At 36.2% G+C, this 22,384-nt stretch overlaps 1 protein-coding gene across 8 annotated transcripts in view; it reads right to left on the bottom strand.

Annotated features, from left to right (window-relative positions):
• HNF4G (hepatocyte nuclear factor 4 gamma) overlaps nucleotides 1–22,384 on the bottom strand; it is a 159,186-nt gene that overhangs the window by 93,533 nt on the left and 43,269 nt on the right. Inside the window, exon 1 of one of the 8 annotated variants that reach the window (XM_047421739.1) lies at nucleotides 17,715–17,828. The exons of the other annotated variants lie outside the window; for them this stretch is intronic. The gene's annotated coding sequence lies outside the window, so the exon portion shown is untranslated. Of the gene's footprint in view, nucleotides 1–17,714; nucleotides 17,829–22,384 lie in introns of those variants that run through there. 8 annotated transcript variants of the gene reach the window in all.

Below are 22,384 nucleotides of genomic sequence, written 5' to 3'. Positions count from 1 at the left end.
TTTTTGAGACGGAGTCTTGCTCTGTCGCCCAGGCTGGAGTGCAGTGGGGCGATCTCGGCTCACCTCCTGGGTTCATGCCATTCTCCTGCCTCAGCCTCCCGAGTAGCTGGGACTACAGGCACCCACAACCACGCCTGGCTAATTTTTTGTATTTTTAGTAGAGACGGAGTTTCACCATGTTAGCCAGGATGGTCTCAATCTCCTGACCTTGTGATCCACCCGCCTCGGCCTCCCAAAGTGCTGGGATTACAGGCTTGAGCCACTGCTCCCGGCTGACACTTTTATATGTAAATCGTGACTCACTCAACATATTTCATTGCCCAACAATGAAGACCAGCCCATTGTTTAAACACTCTGATCTAACTTTTCTAAACCCTTGCCCTTTTTCTAGGACTGGTTCATTTACATCTCATTTAGCCATTCATTTATTTAATTTTTAAAAAGTATTAATTCCCTATAGGAAACCAGGCACTTCTCTACGCACTGGGAATAAAATAATAATGAGCACAGCAAAGAAATTCCTGCCCTCATAAAGTTTGCAGTGTCCAGCCCCCCAAAACAGTGATCATCCATGCCCGTCTCTTCTTAATGGATTTACCTATTTCACCCATTTCATTGTTATATCATACTACTTTACTTTCCTCATCTTTTAATGTGAGTTCCATCTACACAAATAGACTGTAACATCTTTCAAGAGATGAATCTGATTATACATATTTGCACTCTGTATCTTTACTTACTAAGGGAATAGGGTAAGGCAAAGAACGACTGAGTTCTAGTCTTAGCTCACCACTTCCCAGCCTCACGAGCTTAGGCAAGTATCTCAACTTCCCTCAAATTCAGTTTTTCCATCTGCAAGTTGAGAGGGTTCGGCTACACCAGTGGTTTTCCAAATTCTACTGCACAAAGTTTACAGGATTCAATGGAGATTTCAAAGTGGGCCAGGAAGGGGTCTTTTCTCAAAAGGAGGGAGAACTTGAATCCCCATCTCCTGCCTCAACTGAAAATTACAATTTTCTTTAGAAAAAAGAATTTCTAAGCTAAATACTTTCTAAATTATTAAATCTTGAGATTCTCCAATCACGTTCTTTATCTTTTTCTGTCACACAAAGTTGAGATAGGAGGATGAAGAGTAAAGTGGAAAGACAGGAGGTGGGAAAGAGGAGTGGTAAGAGGTAGGGAGGAAGGATGAAAGAAAGGGAAACACTTTCAATAGGATATATGACTCTGAGTTAGGAACTATGCTAGAATCAGCATATATGTCACCTTATCTTTCAGCAGCTTCACAAGACAGGTATTGTTATACCCATTTCACACTTAGAAAAATGAAGCTCAGAAAGGGTAGATTACTTGCTCAAGTACCATAAGTAAGAAGCCATGAAGCAAAGATCTGTTCTCTTTCCATCATCCCAAGCTGCCCTTAAAAGAAGCTAACATGAATGTTACATTTGCTCTTTTAAGGTTTCCCCAATTTCACCTTAATTAATCCTCACAACATTGGGAGTACACTTTAGCATCATTATTATTTTGCCAATTAGAAAACCAAGGTTCAGAGAACTGAAAATGATCCCTCCAATGTCAAAGTAATTCAAGACAAGGATAGAGCTAAATATCTGAATTCATATTCTATGCTCTTTCCATCACACCAAACTGCCTCCTTTAAAAGAAAGAAAGATAAATTGGAAATTAATAAGAAGGAAGGAGGCAAAGGGTATGGAACAGGCTGGAGAATTATCAGAGTTCCACTACTTACTTTCAGAGGACTGTTGAGTCAAATGAGATACTTTAACAGAAAGCATCTTGAAAAAACTGAAACACTCTATCAATGTAAGACGTCATTTTAACTATTCAAACTATGTATATTGAAGATGACATTTTATATTTTTATAAAATTCCAGGTGGTGATTGCAAATATGAGAGCTATATAATGAATTAATTGCTTAGATATACTGCAGAAATTCATATAAAAGGAGGGCAAGCTGACACTTTTCAGATTATGCTACAAGAGTCAGTTACATATGCCTGCTTTTCTGTTCATGATATACAGTCCCTACTGGCAGTAGAATAATTCAAATTTTCAATTTTTCTTGGATTTCATCACCAACTCAATCAAATGAATGAAAGTCAGTATTTTAATATCCTTGCACTGTGTGAAAAATAATAGTATGCTCCACTACCTGAACTCTTAAAGCATTTTTTATTTTGATTGTCTTTCCATTATACTGAGAGATTGTCAGGACTTTATCAGGAAGATCATCCAAACAAACTAGAACGTTATTAAGGTTCCAGCAGTGCAGTAACTCACTGAATGTATGAGTGATTAAAAGCCATACAGTTGTGACAAGGACCATAAGGAGATCAGACAAAGAAGTTACATGTCTTTAAAAGAAGAAGAAGAAAGACTAGAGTGACTTAACCCCTTGTATCTCTTACCAGTGCTAAAACTACAGCATTATTTGACTAATATTTAAAGTCTCATGTGACTCTATTTCTTATAGCAAATAATTTCCTGAGGACAAAAAAATAGAAAACAGGATTAACACAGAATTATAGCATAACTATTGCCTTGACACAATGTCAGGCTTTCAAAAATAATATTTAACATAACAAGATATCCAGACTTTAGTAAAATACTACCTATTTTGTAGTCTGTCACTGGCTTATAGTTATGCTTCTTTGTTCACTGAATTATTTCGGACTTAATAAAATATTCCCATTTCATTTAACATTCACACAACTGTTAATTAAATGTGTCCTATTTGCCAAGGATTGTACCAAGCACTGGAAATAAGGTGTAAAATGAAAAATGATGATCCTTAAAGGAATGAACAATCTGTGGGGGGAGAGAAACAGCAAAATTAATTTTTATAATAGACTACAATTGGAAAAATGCTATGCTATATTGTTAAATGAGGTAATCCTGCCATAAAAATATAGTACCAAAATGTTAACTGTATTCTCTTAAGCCAAGAACAGTGATTATATTTTCTTCTTTACACTTTATATGTCCTCTGATTTTTATGAGGATCTTTTAATGCTTTTATAATCAAATGTAAAGAATCCATGAAACAATTCTTGAATGGGTAGTTGTGCAGAATGCAGTGAGAATGCCAGGAGAAGGCCACTGACTTCGTAAGAGAATCCTGAAAGGCTTAAGAGCAAAGATTACACCCTACTTTGCTCTGGAAGATGAATCAGGCTTTGCTGAGTGGAGAAGGCAATGTAGGTGATATTCAGATAGTAAGAGAATCATCTAAAAAGTGAGAGTTTTGACGTCAGTATTCCATGTAGTTTGAGTGGTGAATGGGAAAGAGAAGATAGCCCGGGCTCCAGCAGTTGAGTGAGCCCTTTAAACAGGGGACACTCTCAGGTTTCTTTTTTTATAAGATGCCTCTGGATCCAGAGGTTTTTGAAGTAAAACTCCTGGTTAAAAATGAAAACACTTAATGAAATAAAAATTGACTGAGGGGACTTGAAAGGAATACTCCATCGAAACTGACAGGATTTGTTCACAGATTGGGTATAAGGATGAGAAAGAAGAAAAACTTGAAGATAACCTGGGGAGATTTGATGATGAGAAATTAAGGAGCCACAGGCTTAAGATAAACAAAGAATTAATAAAATTATGGGTGCCTGTTGAGGAAAAACTGTCTGTAGATTACTTATCGGACAATTTGAAACACAGGTCTCAGACTCAGGCAAGAGACTGAGGCCCTTTCTTCTCTGTCTTCTGCCACTTCTACAGTAAAAGAACTAATGATAAAACACAAGTAAATGAGTAGTAACCTTTTTAATTAAGTAAGTGAAACCCTCTAAAAAAATCATCTGAGAAAGTTTCTGATAATGGCAAAACAAACAAAAAATTATGTATACCAAGAATCCTCAGATTCATATACTGTCCCTCTGATGTAGATTGGATTATTGTCGCAATTACTCAGTGCCTAGTACTAGGATTATACCTCCACACCCTGTGCTATGTAATTTTACAAAGCCTCCCACTGTGGGTGGGGTATATTTCCCCATCCCACTAAGGTTGGGCTTGCCCTGAAACCGCTTTGACTAAGGAAATGCGAATGAACATAATGTAATTGCTTGCATGGTTGGGCTTGTTCTCTTGTGCACCTGGGATCTGCCACCAAAAAAAAAGATTTTCCAATATCTCTGCTGCTCCTTCCACCTGCACCTCAGACCTGAAGCCAAATCAGAAGCCTGCCATTTAACTCATTCAGAAAAGCCTAGCCTAGATCAGCTAAATTATTACAGCCTTTTAAGTATAAAAATAAAATATCAATAAGCCACTGAAAGTTTTATGACTCTTTTGTCATGCAGCATTTTGTAGCAATAGCTAACTAATGCAGCTTTTTTTTTTTCTCTTAACCTCAGAGTAAAGAATAAAGAGTGGGTTTTGTTTTGTTTCTCAAGACTTTGGTTTCCCATAAAATCATAATCTACTTGTCTTAACTTGCTTTCTAGATGATAGGGAGGCAATAACAAGGCTACCATATTAGGAAGGAACGGTTAATGAGTAAATTACACAGGGAAAGGGAAAAACATTGACCATTGAAAAATTTTAGCATTAGAAAACTCTACATATAATTTTTTTTTTTTGAGATGGAGTCTCGCTCTGTCACCCAGGCTGGAGTGCAGTGGCATGATCTTGGCTCACTACAACCTCTGCCTCCCAGATTCAAGTGATTCTCCTGCCTCAGCCTCCCTAGTAGCTGGGATTACAGGCACATGCCACCACACTCGGCTAATTTTTATATTTTCAGTAGAGACGGGGTTTCAACATGTTGGTCAGGCTGGTCTCGAACTCCTGACCTCATGATCCACTTGCCTCGGCCTCCCAAAGTGCTGGGATTACAGGCATGAGCCACCGTGCCCAGCCCTACATATATTTTATGTTGACCTTTTAATTCATTAAATGAACACAAAGTGGGAGATGCAGACTAAGCATGGTTCTTGAGAAATACCTAAGTGACCTCTGCAAAACTTTAAGTGTAGAAGAAAAGACAAGGACCAAAGAAGGACCTCTCCCTGGGGAATACCAGCATATAAATGAATGGTAGGAAGGAAACCAATGAAAAGGACTGAAAAGAGGATAGATATACAACTAGAAAAACTATATTATAGAATTAAATTGGAGAAAGAATGCAAGCGATTGGAATAGTGGAAGATATATTAAAATGGTTTTCTTTTTAACTATCATTTCCTGCTCAGGCATCTATTGCAATGATATAATTATTTGTATGGAACATTACATACATATGCATATATGCATATGTACATTTTTGTATAAATATATATGACGATATCATTTATAACAAGAAAAGAAAACAACATACAGCAGTGGTTCTTAAAATGTAACGTGAATGTGAATCACCTAGAACATTTGCTACTAATGCAGATTCTGTAAGTCCGTCCTAGCAACTCAGTTTCCATGGTCCAGATTAGGACTCTGGATTCTGTTTCAACAGTGCACAGAGGTAGATCTGATTAGAGTCATCTGGGAATGACATTTTAAAAAAAAATAATTACTTTTCTTGATGTCTAGAAGAAGGAAGTAAAATATATGGATAGATAAAAATTTGTGACTTCAGTGTGCTGTTTGCTAATATAAAATTCCTTTTTTTTTTTTTTCCTGAGACAGAGTCTTGCTCTGTTGCCAGGCTGGAGTGCACTGGCACGATCTCCACTCACTGCAACCTCCGCCTCCCAGGTTCAAGTGATTCCCCTCTCTCAGCCTCCCCAGTAGTTGGGACTACAGGTGTGTGCCACCACGCTCAGCTGATTTTTTGTATTTTAGTAGAGACAGGGTTTCACCATGTTGGCCAGAATGGCCTCCATCTCCTGACCTCGTGATCTGCCTGCCTCAGCCTCCCAAAGTGTTGGGATTACAGGCATGAGCCACCGCACTCAGCCCTGTTTGCGAATATAAAATTTCTAATGTGAACTAGTGAGTACTGAATGATAATAGGAATGTGGCCATTCCAGTGAAATGGAGTGCAGGTTAAGGACAGCAGAAGAAAGAATGTGTTGCTAAAATGTTTAGCACATAATTTGCACTCACACATTTCTTGAATAAATAAATAAATGCTTTAGTAGAGAAACTGTCTCAGGGACATATGTGAGCTGGTCATAGGGAAAACCAAAAACCTAGAAATCATCTTACATCAAGAAAACAAATGAGAATGTATAGGAAGATTATGTAAGACTGAAAATATTCTAAGGAACTATTTAACGAAAAAATAAAAGAAAAAGTATACTCCTCAAATTAAAAAACAACAACAACATAGAAGATACAGAATGAATGGTCAGGCCAGGTGCAGTGGCTCACACCTGTAGTCCCAGCACTTTAGGAATCTTGAGTTAGGCAGACTGCTTGAGCCCAGGAGTTCAAGACCAGAATGGGCCACGTGGCAAAACCCCATCTCTACAAAAAATACAAAAATTAGCCAGGCATGGTGGCAGGCACCTGTAGTCCCAGCTACTTGGAAGGCTGAGGCAGGAGGATCTCTTGAGCCTGGAAGTCAAGGCTGCAGTGAGCTGAAATCACACTCAGCCTGGGTGACAGAGTGAGGTCCTGTCTGAAAAAGAAAGAAGAAGAGAAAGGGAAGGGAAGGGAAGGGAAGGGAAGGGAAGGGAAGGGAAGGGAAGGGAAGGGAGAAGGAAGGAAGGAAGGAAGGAAGGAAGGAAGGAAGGAAGGAAGGAAGGAAGGAAGGAAGGAAGGAGCGAGAAAAGAGAAGAGAAGAAGGAGGAGGAGAGAAGGAAGGAAGGAAAGGAGGGAGGGAGGGAGAGAGGGAGGAAGGGACAGAGGGAAAGGAAAAGAAAGGTCAGCAAGTCAAGCAAAATCAAGAAAGTGGATTTTCACTGAAAAAAATGCCATAGAAGGTAAAATTCAGCAGCACAGTCTAATAAAACAAATTAGATAAATAAAATAAAATCTATAAAAATAAACTTGACTGTAAAAAAGACATTGGTAATTTGAGAAAAGAAAAAAGTTGGAAGATAAAGAGGCAGTCATTGCTTGTTGACAGATGTGAGGAAAGAAGGCAGAATGTATTAACAAAATAATCCCTGAAAAAAGAAAATTTTGGTATGAGTATAAAGGAACAGAATTCTAGCATTATGAAGTTAGACAATGTGGTGTTTAAAGTCTCAGAAACATATTTGCATTTTGGAGTATAATGAGCCTCTACTTGATATTTCCTTAAACTGACTAAAGAACAGATATTAAAAATGATAGTAAAGGTAAAAGAAGCTAATAAATAAATACTGGCCTTTTCCTAATTTTCATACATATTTACTCTGTATATATTATTTCATCAGATGCACACAAACACACACACATAACCTGTGACTAGGAAGGAACAAAGTGAAGAGTCTATTATCCCAGGCTGCTTCCTTCATTTCCAATAGAAGGAGGATTCTAGGAAGGTTTAGAAGCAGAATAAGTAAAGAAAGAATTGAGTTAGTCAAGAAAGTTCAATTTTGAAACATGTCCTGGTAAACTTTGAAAATATTTTCTAGTTTTTCTTTTTTCCCCTCTGATCAGTTCTTCTTTCCCATTTCTTTGCTTTCACTTTCTTGTTCTTATTTCTACTAGTTGTACTTCCTAAATTAGTTTTCTTTTTCTCCTGTTTTTTATTTCATACTTTTGTTGTCTTTCTACTTTTTCTTTTTGGCATAATACATATTTCCATTGCTTACTTTTTAGGCTTCAAATGTATTTTCTGTTTTGCTTATGATACCTTTAGTCTCTGAAACTTCTTTCTGGTTATATAATTGGTTCTATTTATTTGTTTATTTTAATTTTTTAAACCTATAAAATGTGCCATACATGCATAAAAGCAGATAAAATATTGCCTTCAAGATTTTCTTGACTTTCTTATGCCTTTGATTGGCATAGAGATGTTTAGCATGAGCTTATTAATATTCACTAAAAATCATGCTTGGCTTTTCACTGGAAACACTATAACTTTATTGATGAAATTGCAAAGAGTTGACAACCATGATTTATGAAATCATCTAATTTGTGAGCATTATATATTATTCTAGTTATGTATATTATCTTAAACTTTAACAATTTTTGCATAGAGTCTATATGAGGCTACATGGGTTAGCTGTAGGATCTGTAGAATCCTATATGAGGCTATCTGTAAGTTCTCATAATACCATATCATCCCTTACTGACATCTTAGGAAGTCAACCAAAAACAAGAGTTCCAGTTAGGATAAACAAGATGACTACTCCCTCTATTGAAGGATGCCTTAGGAAATGTAGGCAGACACTGTTGTGCCTCTATTCTACCCTAATCCAGACAAGGATTAGAAAACAAGGTTTACCACCCTTTACATCATGCCTCATTCCTTTTCCTCTCCCAACATATTCTCTTGTTCTTCCTATTTGGACTTCATTAGTGAATTCTCTGTCCATACTTGGATGATGCCTTTTTAACCTAGCAGTCATGATTCTGGATACTTGTTCCCTGGTGTTTTCCTGTACACTATTTCAGAAATAAGGGCAGCCTCATGTCCCATGATCTAAATGAGAGGAATTAGAAAGCAGTCATGGGTATAAGATAAACCAATCTCTAATATCTCACATTATTAATATACAATCTGATAGACTCCATAAAAGTTAAAACAATAATACATAAGCAAAATTATATTGAGTCAAATAAAATAAGACTCTCATCCAAAAAATAAATTGAGGGGATTTGGAGAATGACAGCTGCACAGCAAGATTAAAGAGGCCACACATTCTGAATGAAGAAGGAACAATATAGAGAGCTCCATGAAGGACATTTCCAAGGGGAAAAAATCTGAGACAATATAAAACTTTGAGGGGGTAAAAAACTGAGGATAAGATAAAGGCAAATTTAGTGCAGGAAACAAAATGAAAGACAATTTGATATTTCAGGATAAAAACAAATCTGCATGAAACTTTCAAAATCAAATAAAGCAAATACAAGTAAATTTGGAATGGTATTATATTAAGTAAATATAAATCTAAAGAAAATGTAAATTTGAAATGATTTCAAAAAATTGAGTTAAAAAAAAAAGAGAGAGAATCCATTTTCACATGGTGAACTTGTTCCCATGAGTGCCCTAGGTTTCCTGAGAGTGAAACTACTTCAAAGAACATAGTACACTATGTGACTCAGCATCAAATAATATTTGTGGTTTGGCAATGTTGTTCATACATTTCCAACTTTAAAGTCAATGTGTCCGGGCACGGTGGCTCACACCTGTAATCCCAGCACTTTCAGAGGTTGAGGCAGGTGGATCACCTGAGGTTGGGAATTCAAGACCAGCCTGACCAACATGGAGAAACCCCGTCTCTATGAAAAATACAAAATTAGCTGGGCATGATGGCACATGCCTGTAATCCCAGCTACTCGGGAGGCTGAGGCAGGAGAATCACTTGAACCCAGGAGGTGGAGAGTGTGGTGAGCCAAGATCATGCCATTGTACTCCAGCCTGGGCAACAAGAACAAAATTCTGTCTCAAAAAAAAAAAAAAAAAAATCAACATATTCACAAAAAGAATAGTTGGAGGTGGTTATAGGAAAACTGTAAATATAAACAAACTTGACACCTGACCAAAGTTAAGCTGCTGAAGAAAGGAAAACTTGAGGAAATGAGTAGGAGAATTAATACCTTATCTGGAAAGTGAAGAGTATAGACTCTGTTGAAAAAAAAAATGAATGCTTACCCATATTATTTTCAGTTGTAAAAGTAAACAATAGAAGAACAAAATTTAAAATATAAATGTCAAATATTGAAAGGAGGGGCAAGGAAAGATGGTGTAATTAAATTGGCCAGATCCTAGCCTTTCAAATCAGGAGTCAACAATTGTTTAAAAAGTTGACAAGCATGTGATCAAGAATTATAAGGTAACATTCTAAAGAAAAAGAATTAAAACCCAACAGTTAGGAGTTCCCTCTGAGAATGGGATCAAAGTGAGGGAATGACGAGGCAGAGGTGATACTTTATATCATAACTTTCCTATAATATGAGGTTGGGATTTATTTTATAAATGATTTTTAAAAGGCTAATGCAGGATTTGTTTTTCATAAAAAATACTAGTTGTACACCTATACCAGCAAACAACAATACAGAAAATTACATGCTAAAAATTAAGTTCCTAAAATGGAATGAGAAAAAGCCATCATCAAGCTAATGAATTAATTCAGATTCCTAAATTTAAGAGGCATTACAGAAAAAAAAAAAACAAAAAAACAAGCAGACATTGAATATCAGAGGAGGAACAAAAAGAGCACATTGAGCAGCAGAATATTATTTGTAAAATAAAAATAAGGCCCACAAAATGTTTAATATATTTAGAAAATAGTTTTTGCAAATGTAATTATTATTAGACATTACTTATAACATCTAAGTACAACATGTACTATATTGTCTGCCTTCTCTATCTTTGTTATTTTCTAAAAATGAAGGAGAAGGAACAACATTCCTTATAACTCACCACCACATCACCTCTAAAGAGACAACACTAAGATATTTATCTGATGTTATACAGTTAGTAAATGATGAAGCCAGAATTTTTCCAGATTCAAAGCTATTTCTATTATATTACACTACCGTAATCATTGTAGTGATCATTAATCTCTGTGATTGTATTTTTTCTCTACTAAATTATATTGACATATTAATATCAAAATACAACAGTCTTCCCTTATCCAAGGTTTCGTTTTCTGCAGTTGCAGTTAACACCAGTCAACTGTAGTCTAAAAATATTAAACTGAAAATTCTAAAAATAAACAATGTATAAGTTCTAAATGGTCACTGTTCTGAGTAGCATGATGACATTTCATGTCATCCTGCTCTGGATGTGAATCATTCCTTTGTCCTGAATCCACTCTGTACACCCTATTCAGCCATTAGTCACTTAGTAGCCATCTTGGTCATCAGATCAACTGTCACAGTTCAAGTAACACAATCACTGTGATACTGTGACAGTTGATCTTATTTTACCTAATAATGGCCCCAAAGGGCAAGAGTTAATAGTACTGACAATTTGGATATGCCTAAGAAGGGTGAATAAAGTACAGTAAGATATTTTAGGCCTGTCGCAGTGGCTCACACCTGTAATCCCTGCACTTTGGGAGTCCAAGGCAGGCAGATTACCTGAAGTTGGGAGTTCGAGACCAGCCTGACCAACATGGAGAAACCCCATCTCTACTAAAAATACAAAATTAGACAGCCATGGTGGTGCATGCCTGTAATCCCAACTACTTGGGAGGCTGAGGCAGGAGAATTGCTTGAACCCAGGAGGCGGAGGTTGCAGTGAGCTGAGATGGCACCACTGCACTCCAGCCTGGGCAACAAGAGCAAAACTCCATCTAAAAAAATATATATATATATATATATATTTATATTTATATATTTATATATTTATTTTTTTTTAAAGAGACCATATTCACATGACTTCTATTACAGTATATTGTTGTGATTGTCCTGTTTTATTATTAGCAATTGTTGTTAATCTTTTACTATGCCTAATTTATAAATTAAACTTTATGATAAGTATGTATGTATAGGAAAAAAACAATATATACAGAGTTCAGTGCTATTCATGGTTTCAGGCATCTACTTGGGGTCTTGGGACATATCCCCCACAGATAAAGGAGAACTGCTGTATGCACACAACTGCACTATACTTACCCAGATCTTTAGCTTTTGTAGTAGGCAGAATAATGGCCTCTCACAGTTGCCCTAATGCCTAGAAACTGAATGTTACCTTAAATGTCAAAAGTGACTTTGCAGATGTGATTAAGGGTTTTGAAATAGAGGAGATTGTCCTGGATTATCTAAGTGGGTCTGATATAATCGCAAGGGTCCTTAAAGGATGAAAAAGAGAGGAAGAAGGGTCAGAAAAGGAGATGTAATAGCAGAAGCTGAGGTTGGGTAATGAAATTGTGGGCTTTGAAGAAGGAAGATGGCGGAAGGGGCCAAGGAATGGAGCCAAAAAATGGAGGAAGACCCTGGAAGCTAAAAAAGGGAAGGAAAAAGATTTTCCTGGCTTCTTCAGAGGAATGCACCCCTGTTGACACCTTGATTTTAGCCCAGTAAAACCCCTTTTGTACTTCTGACCTCGAGCTGTAAAATAATAGATTTGTGTTGTTCACAACACTCAGTTCGTGGTAATTTGTGACAGCAGAAATAGGAAGCAAAGAAAAAAACAGGCTTACATCTTGTCCCTGCTGTGTGATTTTGGGCAAGATTCTTAACCTCTATAAACCTCTTTCTTTATCTGCAAAGTTGGAATCCTAAATATATTTGAACAAGTGTGGTAATCATTAATCTACAGTAACTCATTAAAGGGTCGATATTATCATTAAGTACTAATTGTAGAAGAAAAAGAACATTTGTAAGAAAAAGTGGTGAAGACTGTTTTCTTCTGCCAAACCCTCAAAGTTAGCTAGCCAGCAATTCTTCATAACATATTAGTTACAAGTTGAAATATGAAGGGGGAAAACTCTTCCAATATTGAAACCACTTCATGATTTGAGCTCATTCGCTCCACTCCTTTAATATCTAGCCTCTTTGGGGAAGAGGCAATATCCTTGACTGTCTATAAATTTATGAGTGTAGTTTCTTTTATGGCTCTGAATGTAATAGAACCTAAGTAAATACTGATAAGTTCTCTATTCTTCTGAGAAGTTTCCACCCACATAATATTGTCCTATCATTGGAAATCCCCACAGTTTTGATAAGAATGAAGGCAAGAACTCTTTTATATATAACACTTGTCAATTAGAATCAGAACAGCATTCATCATTTTAGTTGGAAAGTCTATAGATTTTTTAAAAACCCACTTGAAGTCTGTATAATGAAATTTTACCCTTATTGTCTTTTAAGCACCTTCAGCTGGTTTGGAAGGTTAATGCTGGCTTTCAAGTTTATTTTTGTCAAGCATCCTTTAACATGGTTTGCATTTATAGATTAAATGTAAACTGAATTAAAAGCACTAAGTATTTAGTACATAAATGTCATCACACTCTCCCCACATAAATCAACCTGAAACAGAACTAGAAACCATGTCCACTTTTTCAATATAGGGATAGGTAATGTCTTTATTAATCAGGCCTGTAGGAAACAATATTAACTCTTTCAAACCACTTAGTTACTAGTCATTTTCAGGAACTCTTTTTAGGTTTGTTTTTTTCTCTTTGTGTACTGCAAAGAGATTTTTTTTTTTCTTCAGAACGTACGTATTGATTTAAGCTTTCTTTATACAGAATCATCATACAGCATGAGTTAATTAGTATCTACAAGGCCTCACAACTAGGCAAATTCTCATGGAAAACTATGATCACTCTAAAAAATATAAAATATAACTAAGGAAAAATGATTTAATATGTAATTCCATGGTGTATGATTTTCCATTTGTATGTGAATTACTTTAAGACACAACTATGTAACTTGAAAAACAACTCTTTTGGACTCTGAGTAGAGTCCTGGAGGGCTTTTCTAGGTGGCTAGCATTCTGAAGACAAGTGCCTGTCCATGCTGCCACCAGATCATCTGGGTCTGAATCACATCAATGGATAAGTAAGGATAAATGTGTACATGACTAAATGCATAAATGAATGAACACTTCTAGAATGAAGATGTATACAGATTAGCTCCTGGGTTTCACATGAGGATATAGCAGAGTTCACTTGTCTTTTCTAAATGAAGTCAAACTATACAGGTCATTTATAAACACTACTACACAAGCCAAGTATGAACTCAAGACTTATAACATCAAGACTAGAATAAATCTTTTATGATCCAGAATCCTATCACTCAATAAATGAACTATTTTTTACATTCTCTTATTGATTTCCTGATCACATTTTGTAGGTTTATTTGTATAGCACAGAGAAATCAGTTTTTGCTACATAATGAGAAGAATTTAGGCACAAGTTTAAAATTCTGCATGTACATTAGGCTTCATAATTTTGATAGGCCACAGTGATTTTCTTTCCTAAGAACTCATGACACTTTATGAATATTACACTGACTAAGAATGCAGTCATATACTGCTGAGATACATTTGGTGTTATTATTTAGCTAACATTCTATTAAATTTTATATAAGTGTTATTTACCTAGCTAGTAGAGAGTTCCTTCCTACTACGGAATAGGAATTACCTTCCTTTATATAATCCCACTCTGCCTGAAGGGTGAAATAGCTAGATAGACAGACATTTGTTGAATGAATGTAGTCACTGTAAGCAAATAAAAAATAGTGGGAAAAATTGTAAAATGCCTAACATTTCATATTCTAGTTTGAATATAATTACAGTAGTTTGTTTCATAATCTTTATTGCCTGAGATAAAGACCATTACTGACCTTTAAAAATGTACATTATTAAGGATAATCAGAATGTTTTCATTAATATCATATCCATTAAATAGCAGTTAAAATATAAGTCATTAGAAAAATAAAATAGAAGAAAGATTGTCATTATTCTCTTTAGTTTTCACTTTTGATTTAAAAACACACATGAGATGAAAACTGTATTCTTAACTTTGACCCAGTTATGATGTTGACGCAACCTGAACTATGCCCCTGAATGCCAACCTGTAAGTGGAGGTTATTGCTTCTTTCCATGAAGGCGTAAATTCAATTCACATGTACCAGGCATTTAGGAAACAAAGACATTAAGGAGATACAATTCCTGCCTTCAAGAAACTTAGGGGATAGTAGGAACATTTTTACGTTTTTTCATGCTCAAAGACAAAACAGTTTTTGTTTATTTGTTATTGTTGTTGTCTGAGTAGATATTATGAAAATTTGACCCCTGTATCATTTGGGAAAATGAAGCTTTGAAAATCAGTCTGAGTGTGTCTTTATCTTTAGAGTTTCCCTCATTTTGACAACTATTCTTCCTTAGAAGTAAAAAAAAAAAAAAAAAAAAAAGTTAGACCATTAAACATAAACCAACAGTAGTCTTCTTTCTGCTGATTTTTTTCCTTTCTCATCTCCTTAGTGGGTTTCACATTTTCCTCTTATTCTTAATCCAAGACGGGGTATTTAACCCTCTCTTATCTATTTCCTTATCTCTATATACATTCATTCAGTGATTGTATGTACAATAGGAGCAGCTACTTTTATTATTACCTCCTAAATGTACATATCTAAACCTAACCACCTACCAGTGAGCAGGCTAGTCTTAAGACATAACTGAAGTTTGGCATGGTGGCTCACTCTGTAATCCAAGCACTTTGGAAGTGAAAGGATCTCTTGGACCCAGTAGTTTGAGACCAGCCTGGGCAATATAGTGAGACTTTGCCTCTACAAAAAATTAAATATATATAAAAAACAGAATAACTCATTACATTTTCCTCAAAATTGGTATCTTTCTTTTTTGTTCTCTACTGCAAAGGACCATCATCTCACTCCTCACAATATAAACATACACACACACACGCACACATAATATTATATGTAATTAACATACATTCCTGCATCCCTGTCTACAGTAAATGTCTTACTCTATGGCAATGCTCTTATGAGAAAAATATCTTTATGCAGAGCTAGACCTGAGCAGCCACCACCCCCACCGCCCCTGATGCCTGCCCTAGATATTCCACATGCCTTTCAGAAGTATTCTCTATAGCAAACAACAGAAGATCCACCTATTAGATTCACTGCAGCATGTCAGGCTCCAAGGAATTTCCAACCTCTCTAAGATACTACCTCTCTACTCAAATAATCCTTAGTAAAATCTAGGGGAATGTCATTAGAGTCACATAGACTCAGGTTTTAATTATGATACCATGTTACTTGCTGTCTCATCCTGGACACGTTCAGTTTAGTTAAATAACAGTGTTAAAAATATTTATCTCAGAGGTGTATAGAGGAATAGGCATAAGGTGTATAGCCACAGTGACCAATCTCCCTTCTATCTTAAGGATCATATAAAGCCACCTGACAAGTCAAGGAACCACCTGATTATGTCAAATAAGGAACATGGTGCCAGAGCATTAATACAAATCTTCATCTGATCACTTTCTTTTAGATTATGTGGTATGTAAGAGGTGTGGTTCCTTGTTTTTAAAACTGATGTATGTGGGTCCTCTTTACAACTGGATTAAAGTCTACAGCTATAATAAAGAGCCTGAGGATCTGTTCTGAATGCTTCAGATGCTTGGTAAATGACTGAATCAATTCATTAGCCAATGGATCTGTTCTGGATATATTAGAGACTATTATAAATATTTAACCAAATTAACTAGTTAAAATATTCTTAGGCCAGGTGCTCACACCTTATCTTAGTACTTTGGGAAGCTGAGGCAGAAGGATTGCTGTAGCTGAGGAGTTCAAGACCAGCCTGGGCAATATAGTGAGACCTCATCTCTACAAATAATTTTTTTTTTATTTTTTTGGGCATGGTGGCACACGTCTGGGGTCCCAGCTACTCAGGAGCCTGAAGTGGGGGAATCGCTTAAATCCAGGCAGTTGAGGCTGCAGTGAGTTATGATCATGCCACTGCACTCCAGCCTAGGCAATAGAGTGAGACTCTGTCTCAAAACAAAATAATAAAAATTAATTAATTAAAATAAATTAAATAAATAAAATATTCTTTATTCTATGGGACTTTTATATAGAATGTTAATTTTACCATCTTCTGAAGATTAGGAATAGATTTTGGTTACCAACCTGGAAAGACTATCATTCTCACCCTTTCTAAGGAAATATTTGAGTCAATGCTTTATGTTCTATTTAAAAATAAAATAAATCAGGTTTAAAAATGGCCCAAACAAGATAAAACATCAAATTTAACCTTGAAATGAAAACTAAGTGATCCAATAACACAGGAAAAGTTATACTCTTCAGAGGACCATGCTCTCAGGAAGATAAAAAAGGGATTTTTTGAAACAATATTTCAAGTGTACAAATCAGCAAATGCTTATACTATTCCCTAAATTTCTTCTCAAACTGTGTTACATCTCAGGCCATATACCACTTTCAAATGTTTTTGTTTTCATTCTTAGTAGGTACTCAATGAATTTGAGATTCATTCTCTTCTTTTCTGTTTGTTTCTTCATTCATAATATAAATATTATGTCGAATTTTGCACTACCCTGTAAAGATCTTATACAGAGAATAAGATCTCAAATATGTAGAAAATGAGCCTTACTGGATATATATGAAGCTCTGGACAGGTTTATAAAATTCTGTGTACTTCTGAACAAAGACGTCCCCAGCTATACTCAGATAAGAAGTGTTCTTTACAGATCTCATAACCGCTTAGTCAAATTATGTTCATAAAATGGCAAAGCTCGTATAACTTGTTGCAGCTAGCTCTGATTTAAAATATCTAATTCTATAGAATTAGTAATGATTCTATTAGTTAATTAAATTAAGACCTTTCCGTTTTGGTTTGACTTTTTTTTGTGATTCAGAGATGACATCAAATCAGTCTTTATACAGAAAGTATGCAAACTGCTACCACTAGTATTTTAGAAGCAGCAAAAGTAACTTGTAGAAGAAATTATATTCACAGTACATTACGGTTATTTAAAAAAATTAACATCTTACTGGAAAATATAGAGGCAATAATCACTTCTATGAGCTTTTTAAGAGTTATTATATTTTACTAATTCAATGATATTATGGAGTGTCTGCAAAATCAAACAGAACTGAAATGATTTATCAGAATAAATATTAGCAGAAGAACATTTTCTTAATTACTCACACATTTCATTTTGCTTTAAGTTGAATTATTCAGAAAATTATAGTTCCCCAAGTTCATGCATAACAGGAAACACCAGGTTGGGGCAATTGATTGAATTGTTCTCTGGAGCACAGTACCTAAACATTACTCACCACATTGATTATCATTGTGGCCTGTGTGTAACTAAAGATACCAACACTTTATGGAAATTAATTTTTAATTATTAATCACTTCCTATCTGCCTAAAAGCAATATGATTAAATAAAAACAAATACAATCTTTCTAGATAAAGACAGTTGGAAGAGGTATATGGAATATAATGCTTAAATTTATAAAAAGTTTCAAAAATTGTATGTTTCAGGAACTACATTTTGTTTTTACAAAAAGACTATGATAATCTAGTACTAATTTGTTAGGAAGTCGGTCTCCAAAAACTTAAATCAATGTTTTATCATTTTGAGAGTTGATATACTTAATTTGGAAGATGAGTTATTTGTTTGATTTTTGATGAGATAGAATAATACATTTAATGAATGTATTATTTACACAAAAGGGATGATGTGAGGACAATGAGAGACTAAAAACCTTTATCTTAATTTTTATATATGAATGGCAAGCATTCCTTCCAAAATGCTAACATATATACGTGTGTTTCTATATAGTGTGTTTCTTACTAGAAGCATTTCCTTATAAAACTCCTTTTATTCAATCACTCAAAAATAGGTTTAATGATACCATAGGCTAGGTACTCTTCTCAGCACTGGGGATATTCCCTGCCCTCATGGACCTTATTCTGGTAAGCAACAGGGATACCACAAAAATAACTAAATATATTAATCGAAATGTCAGTGACTGCTTAATGAAGAGAAATGAAGAAGGATGAGGTGATAGAGTGATTAGGGTTATTTTGGGTAGGCTAATTAAGAAGGCCACTCTAAGAGAATGACACTTAAGAGACCTGAGCAAATAGGGAGAAGAGGCCTTCTGTGGCAAGCACAGCGGGTAGAAGCCTGACACAGCAACAAGCTCTGTGTCTTCTGGAAACTTCAGGTAGGCCAATGTGGTTGGAGAGCAAGGAAGTGGTAAACAGTTGGAGATGACATAGAAAGGCAACAAGTGGACTACTGTGTGCTTACTATTAGTGGGTACCAAGTACCAGACACACCATTCAATGCCCAGGATAGTAAGAACTGCATGTACTGAGGTTTTACGATGTACTGGGAAATGTACTAAACATTTTATACTTATCTCATTTAACCCTCAGTATCACCTATCTTAATTAGCTCAGTTTGCTGTAACAAAGTACTATAGACTGGATGGTTTAAACAACAGAATTTTATTTCTCTCGGTTCTTGAGACTGTAAGTCCAAAATCAGGGTGCTAGCAGAATTGAGTTCTGGTGAGGGCCTTCTTCCTGGCTTGCTGATAGTTGCCTTCTTGCTGTGTCCTCACAGGGCCTTTTCTCTGTATGTGGAGTGGGGGAGAGGAGGAGAGGGAGAGAGGGAGAAAGGAAGAGAGGGAGGGAGGGAGGGAGAAAGGAAGAGAGGGAGGGAGGGAGAGAGAGAGAGAGAGAGAGAGAGAGAAATTTCTTCTTCTTATAAAGCAATTAATCTCATGATGAGAGCCCCACTGTGTCACCTATTCTAATCCTAATTACCTCCCAAAGGCCCCATCTCCAAATACCATCACATTGGGACTTTAACATATAAATTTGGGAAGGATTTTAACATATGAATTTGGGAAGGACAGGAACATTCAGTCCATTACACCAACCTTGTGTGATATATATTATTTTTAGTTATTTTACAAAACAAAGCAAAAAACATTAGGATCAGAGATATGAAATAACTTGCTCACGAAGAAGACAGATCAAGGTCTTAGTCCCAGTGTGTCCAGAGTTGGTTCCTTCTGATGGGTTTGTGGTCTGACTGACTTCAAGAATGGAGCTGCAGACCTTTGCAGTGAGTGTTACAGCTCTTAAAGATGGCATGGACCCAAAGATTGAGTAGCAGCAAGATTTATTGTGAAGAGGAAAATAACAAAGCTTCCACAGCATGGAAAGGAACCCTAGCAGGTTGCCACTGCTGGCTACGGGGCGGGGGGGCAGGGGGGTGGCCAGCTTTTATTCCCTTATTTGTCCCCACCCATGTCCTGCTGATTGGTCCATTTAACAGAGTGCTGATCGTTCCATTTTACAAACCTCTAGCTAGCTACAGAGCACTGATTGGTGTGTTTTTACAGAGCACTGATTGGTGCATTTTACAAACCTCTAGCTAGCTACAGAGCACTGACTGGTGCGTTTTTACAGAGCACTGATTGGTGCATTTTACAAACCTCTTGCTAGACAGAAAAGTTCTCCAAGTCCCCACTCCACCCAGGAAGTCCAGCTGGCTTCACCTCTCACCAGGAGGCTCAAATAAGTGTAATTAGTCTTGGTGCCATTCTGCTTCTGGCAAGGAACAGCACAGGCATATGCCTACTGTCCTGAAACAAGGAGTCTGGTTACAGATATTAGAACAGCCTGTCACAGAAAATAGGAAACTAAAGTTAAGAAGGCCTGACATGATTGCTATTCTCTAGGTGAACTTTAGCAATCACTTAACCTTTTTAAATTTACATAATCATTCATTTCCTCATTAATTTATTCTAAATCTACCTAATATAGACCAGGCCATGTGCTCAAGAACCAAAATTAATAATAGAGAGTGCCTTCAATAATCTCTCATTCAAGTGGAAAAGCAAACATATTCACTCTTCATAAAAGTGTTCATATTTTGATTATCTAATAGTGAAGAGCATAGGCTTTAAAATAGGACTGCCTGATGTGGAATCATGGCTCAAACAGTTACTAATTGCATACATTAGTCTTTTTCTTTTCTTTTTTTTTTTTGAGACGGAGTCTCACTCTGTTGCCCAGGCTGGAGTGCAGTGGCACGATCTCGTCTCACTGCAAGCTCCGCCTCCCGGGTTCACGCCATTTCCCTGCCTCAGCCTCCCAAGTAGCTGGGACTACAGGCGCCCGCCACCATGCCCGGCTAATTTTTTGTATTTTTAGTAGAGACGGGGTTTCGCCGTGTTAGCCAGGATGGTCTCGATTTCCTGACCTCATGATCCCCCCGCTTCGGGCTCCCAAAGTGCTGTGATTACAGGCGTGAGCCAACGTGCCCAGCCACATTAGTCTTGAAACTCATTAAAAAGATACTTATTTGGAAAGTGAAGACAATAAATGTGTACAAACCTTGAGGTTGTGTTAGGAATAAAATAGTCTATAAATCATGTACTGTGGTGTTGGACACATACTAATACTGTAACAATCGTTTATTATAAATATTACTACTGTAACCACTAGAAATGGTATAATACCAACAATGAATATTATAACTTTTGTTCTTTAGAAATATTTATTTATATTATTTATTATAAAATTGTAAAGTTATTTTGAATTTGTTGAATACCAGTTTGGCAAAGACATCCAGTAGTTCCCTAACATATGATCTCCCTCCTTCCACAGCAAAAGATTTGTAATTGGGCACTTTGGAAGTGAAGATCATATTCCCAGCCATGCTTGCAGCTCAGTGAAGCCATGGAACTAAGTTTCCACCAATGGAATGGGATCAGAAGTAATGTTTGCTACTTAGGTGCCTGGGCCTTCAGACATTGTGCATGAAATCTTCCATGCTCACTCCTTCCTGGAAGCTGGAGTACAGGTGTGCCTGTGATTAGGCTCCAACCTAACAGAACAAGATAAGGCCCTAGAGCAAAAGCCATAAAACTACCAAATTGTCTGTCTTGTAAATAGTTTTAAGGGACAAACAACAAAGCTGGAGGCATCACACTACTTGATTTTAAAATCTACTACAAAGCTCTAGTAATCAAAACATCATGGTGCTGGCATAAAAATAAGCACATAGACCAATGGGACAGAATAAAGAGTCCAGAAATAAATGCATACACTTAGGATCAATTGATTTTCATTAAAGATGCCAAGAACACAAAATGGGAAAAGGGCAGTCTCTTCAATAAATGGTGCTGGGGAAAACTGAATGTTCACATGCAGAAGAATGAAACTTAACCTTCATCTCATACCATTTACAAAAATCAACTCAACATGGATTAAAGACTTAAATGTAAGACCTGAAACTATAAAACTACCAGAAGAAAACATAGGGGAAAAGCTCCATGACATTTCTCTGGGCAATAATTTTTTTTTTTGGATATGGCTATAAAAGCACAGGTAACAAAAGCAAAAATACACAAATGGAATTATATCAGACTAAAAAGCGCTGCACAGCCAAGGACACAATCAACAGAGTAAAGGGACAACCTGCAGAATGGGAGAATATATTTGCAAGCTATACAACAAAATATGTAAGGAACTCAAACAACTCAATAGCAAAGACAAAAAACAAAACAAAACAAAAACAAGTAATCCCCCCAAAATGGGCGAAGGACCAGAATAGACATTTCTCAAAAAAAAAGGCATACACATGGCCAATGGAGTATATGAAAAAATGTTCAACATTACTAATTGTCTCAGTCTGTTTTGTGTTGCCATAACAGAATACTACAGACTTGATAATTTATAAAGAAAGTTATTTCTCACAATTTTGGAGGCTGAAAAGTCTAATATCAAGATGCTGGCATCTGGTGAAGGGCTTTTGCTGCATCATCCCATGGCGGAGGGTGGAAAG

This window comes from Homo sapiens, chromosome 8, assembly GCF_000001405.40.
Source record: "Homo sapiens chromosome 8, GRCh38.p14 Primary Assembly".
Lineage (NCBI taxonomy): Eukaryota > Metazoa > Chordata > Mammalia > Primates > Hominidae > Homo > Homo sapiens.
The sequence above is the reverse complement of the archived record's forward strand: the minus strand, read 5'-3'. Positions and strand labels throughout refer to the sequence as shown.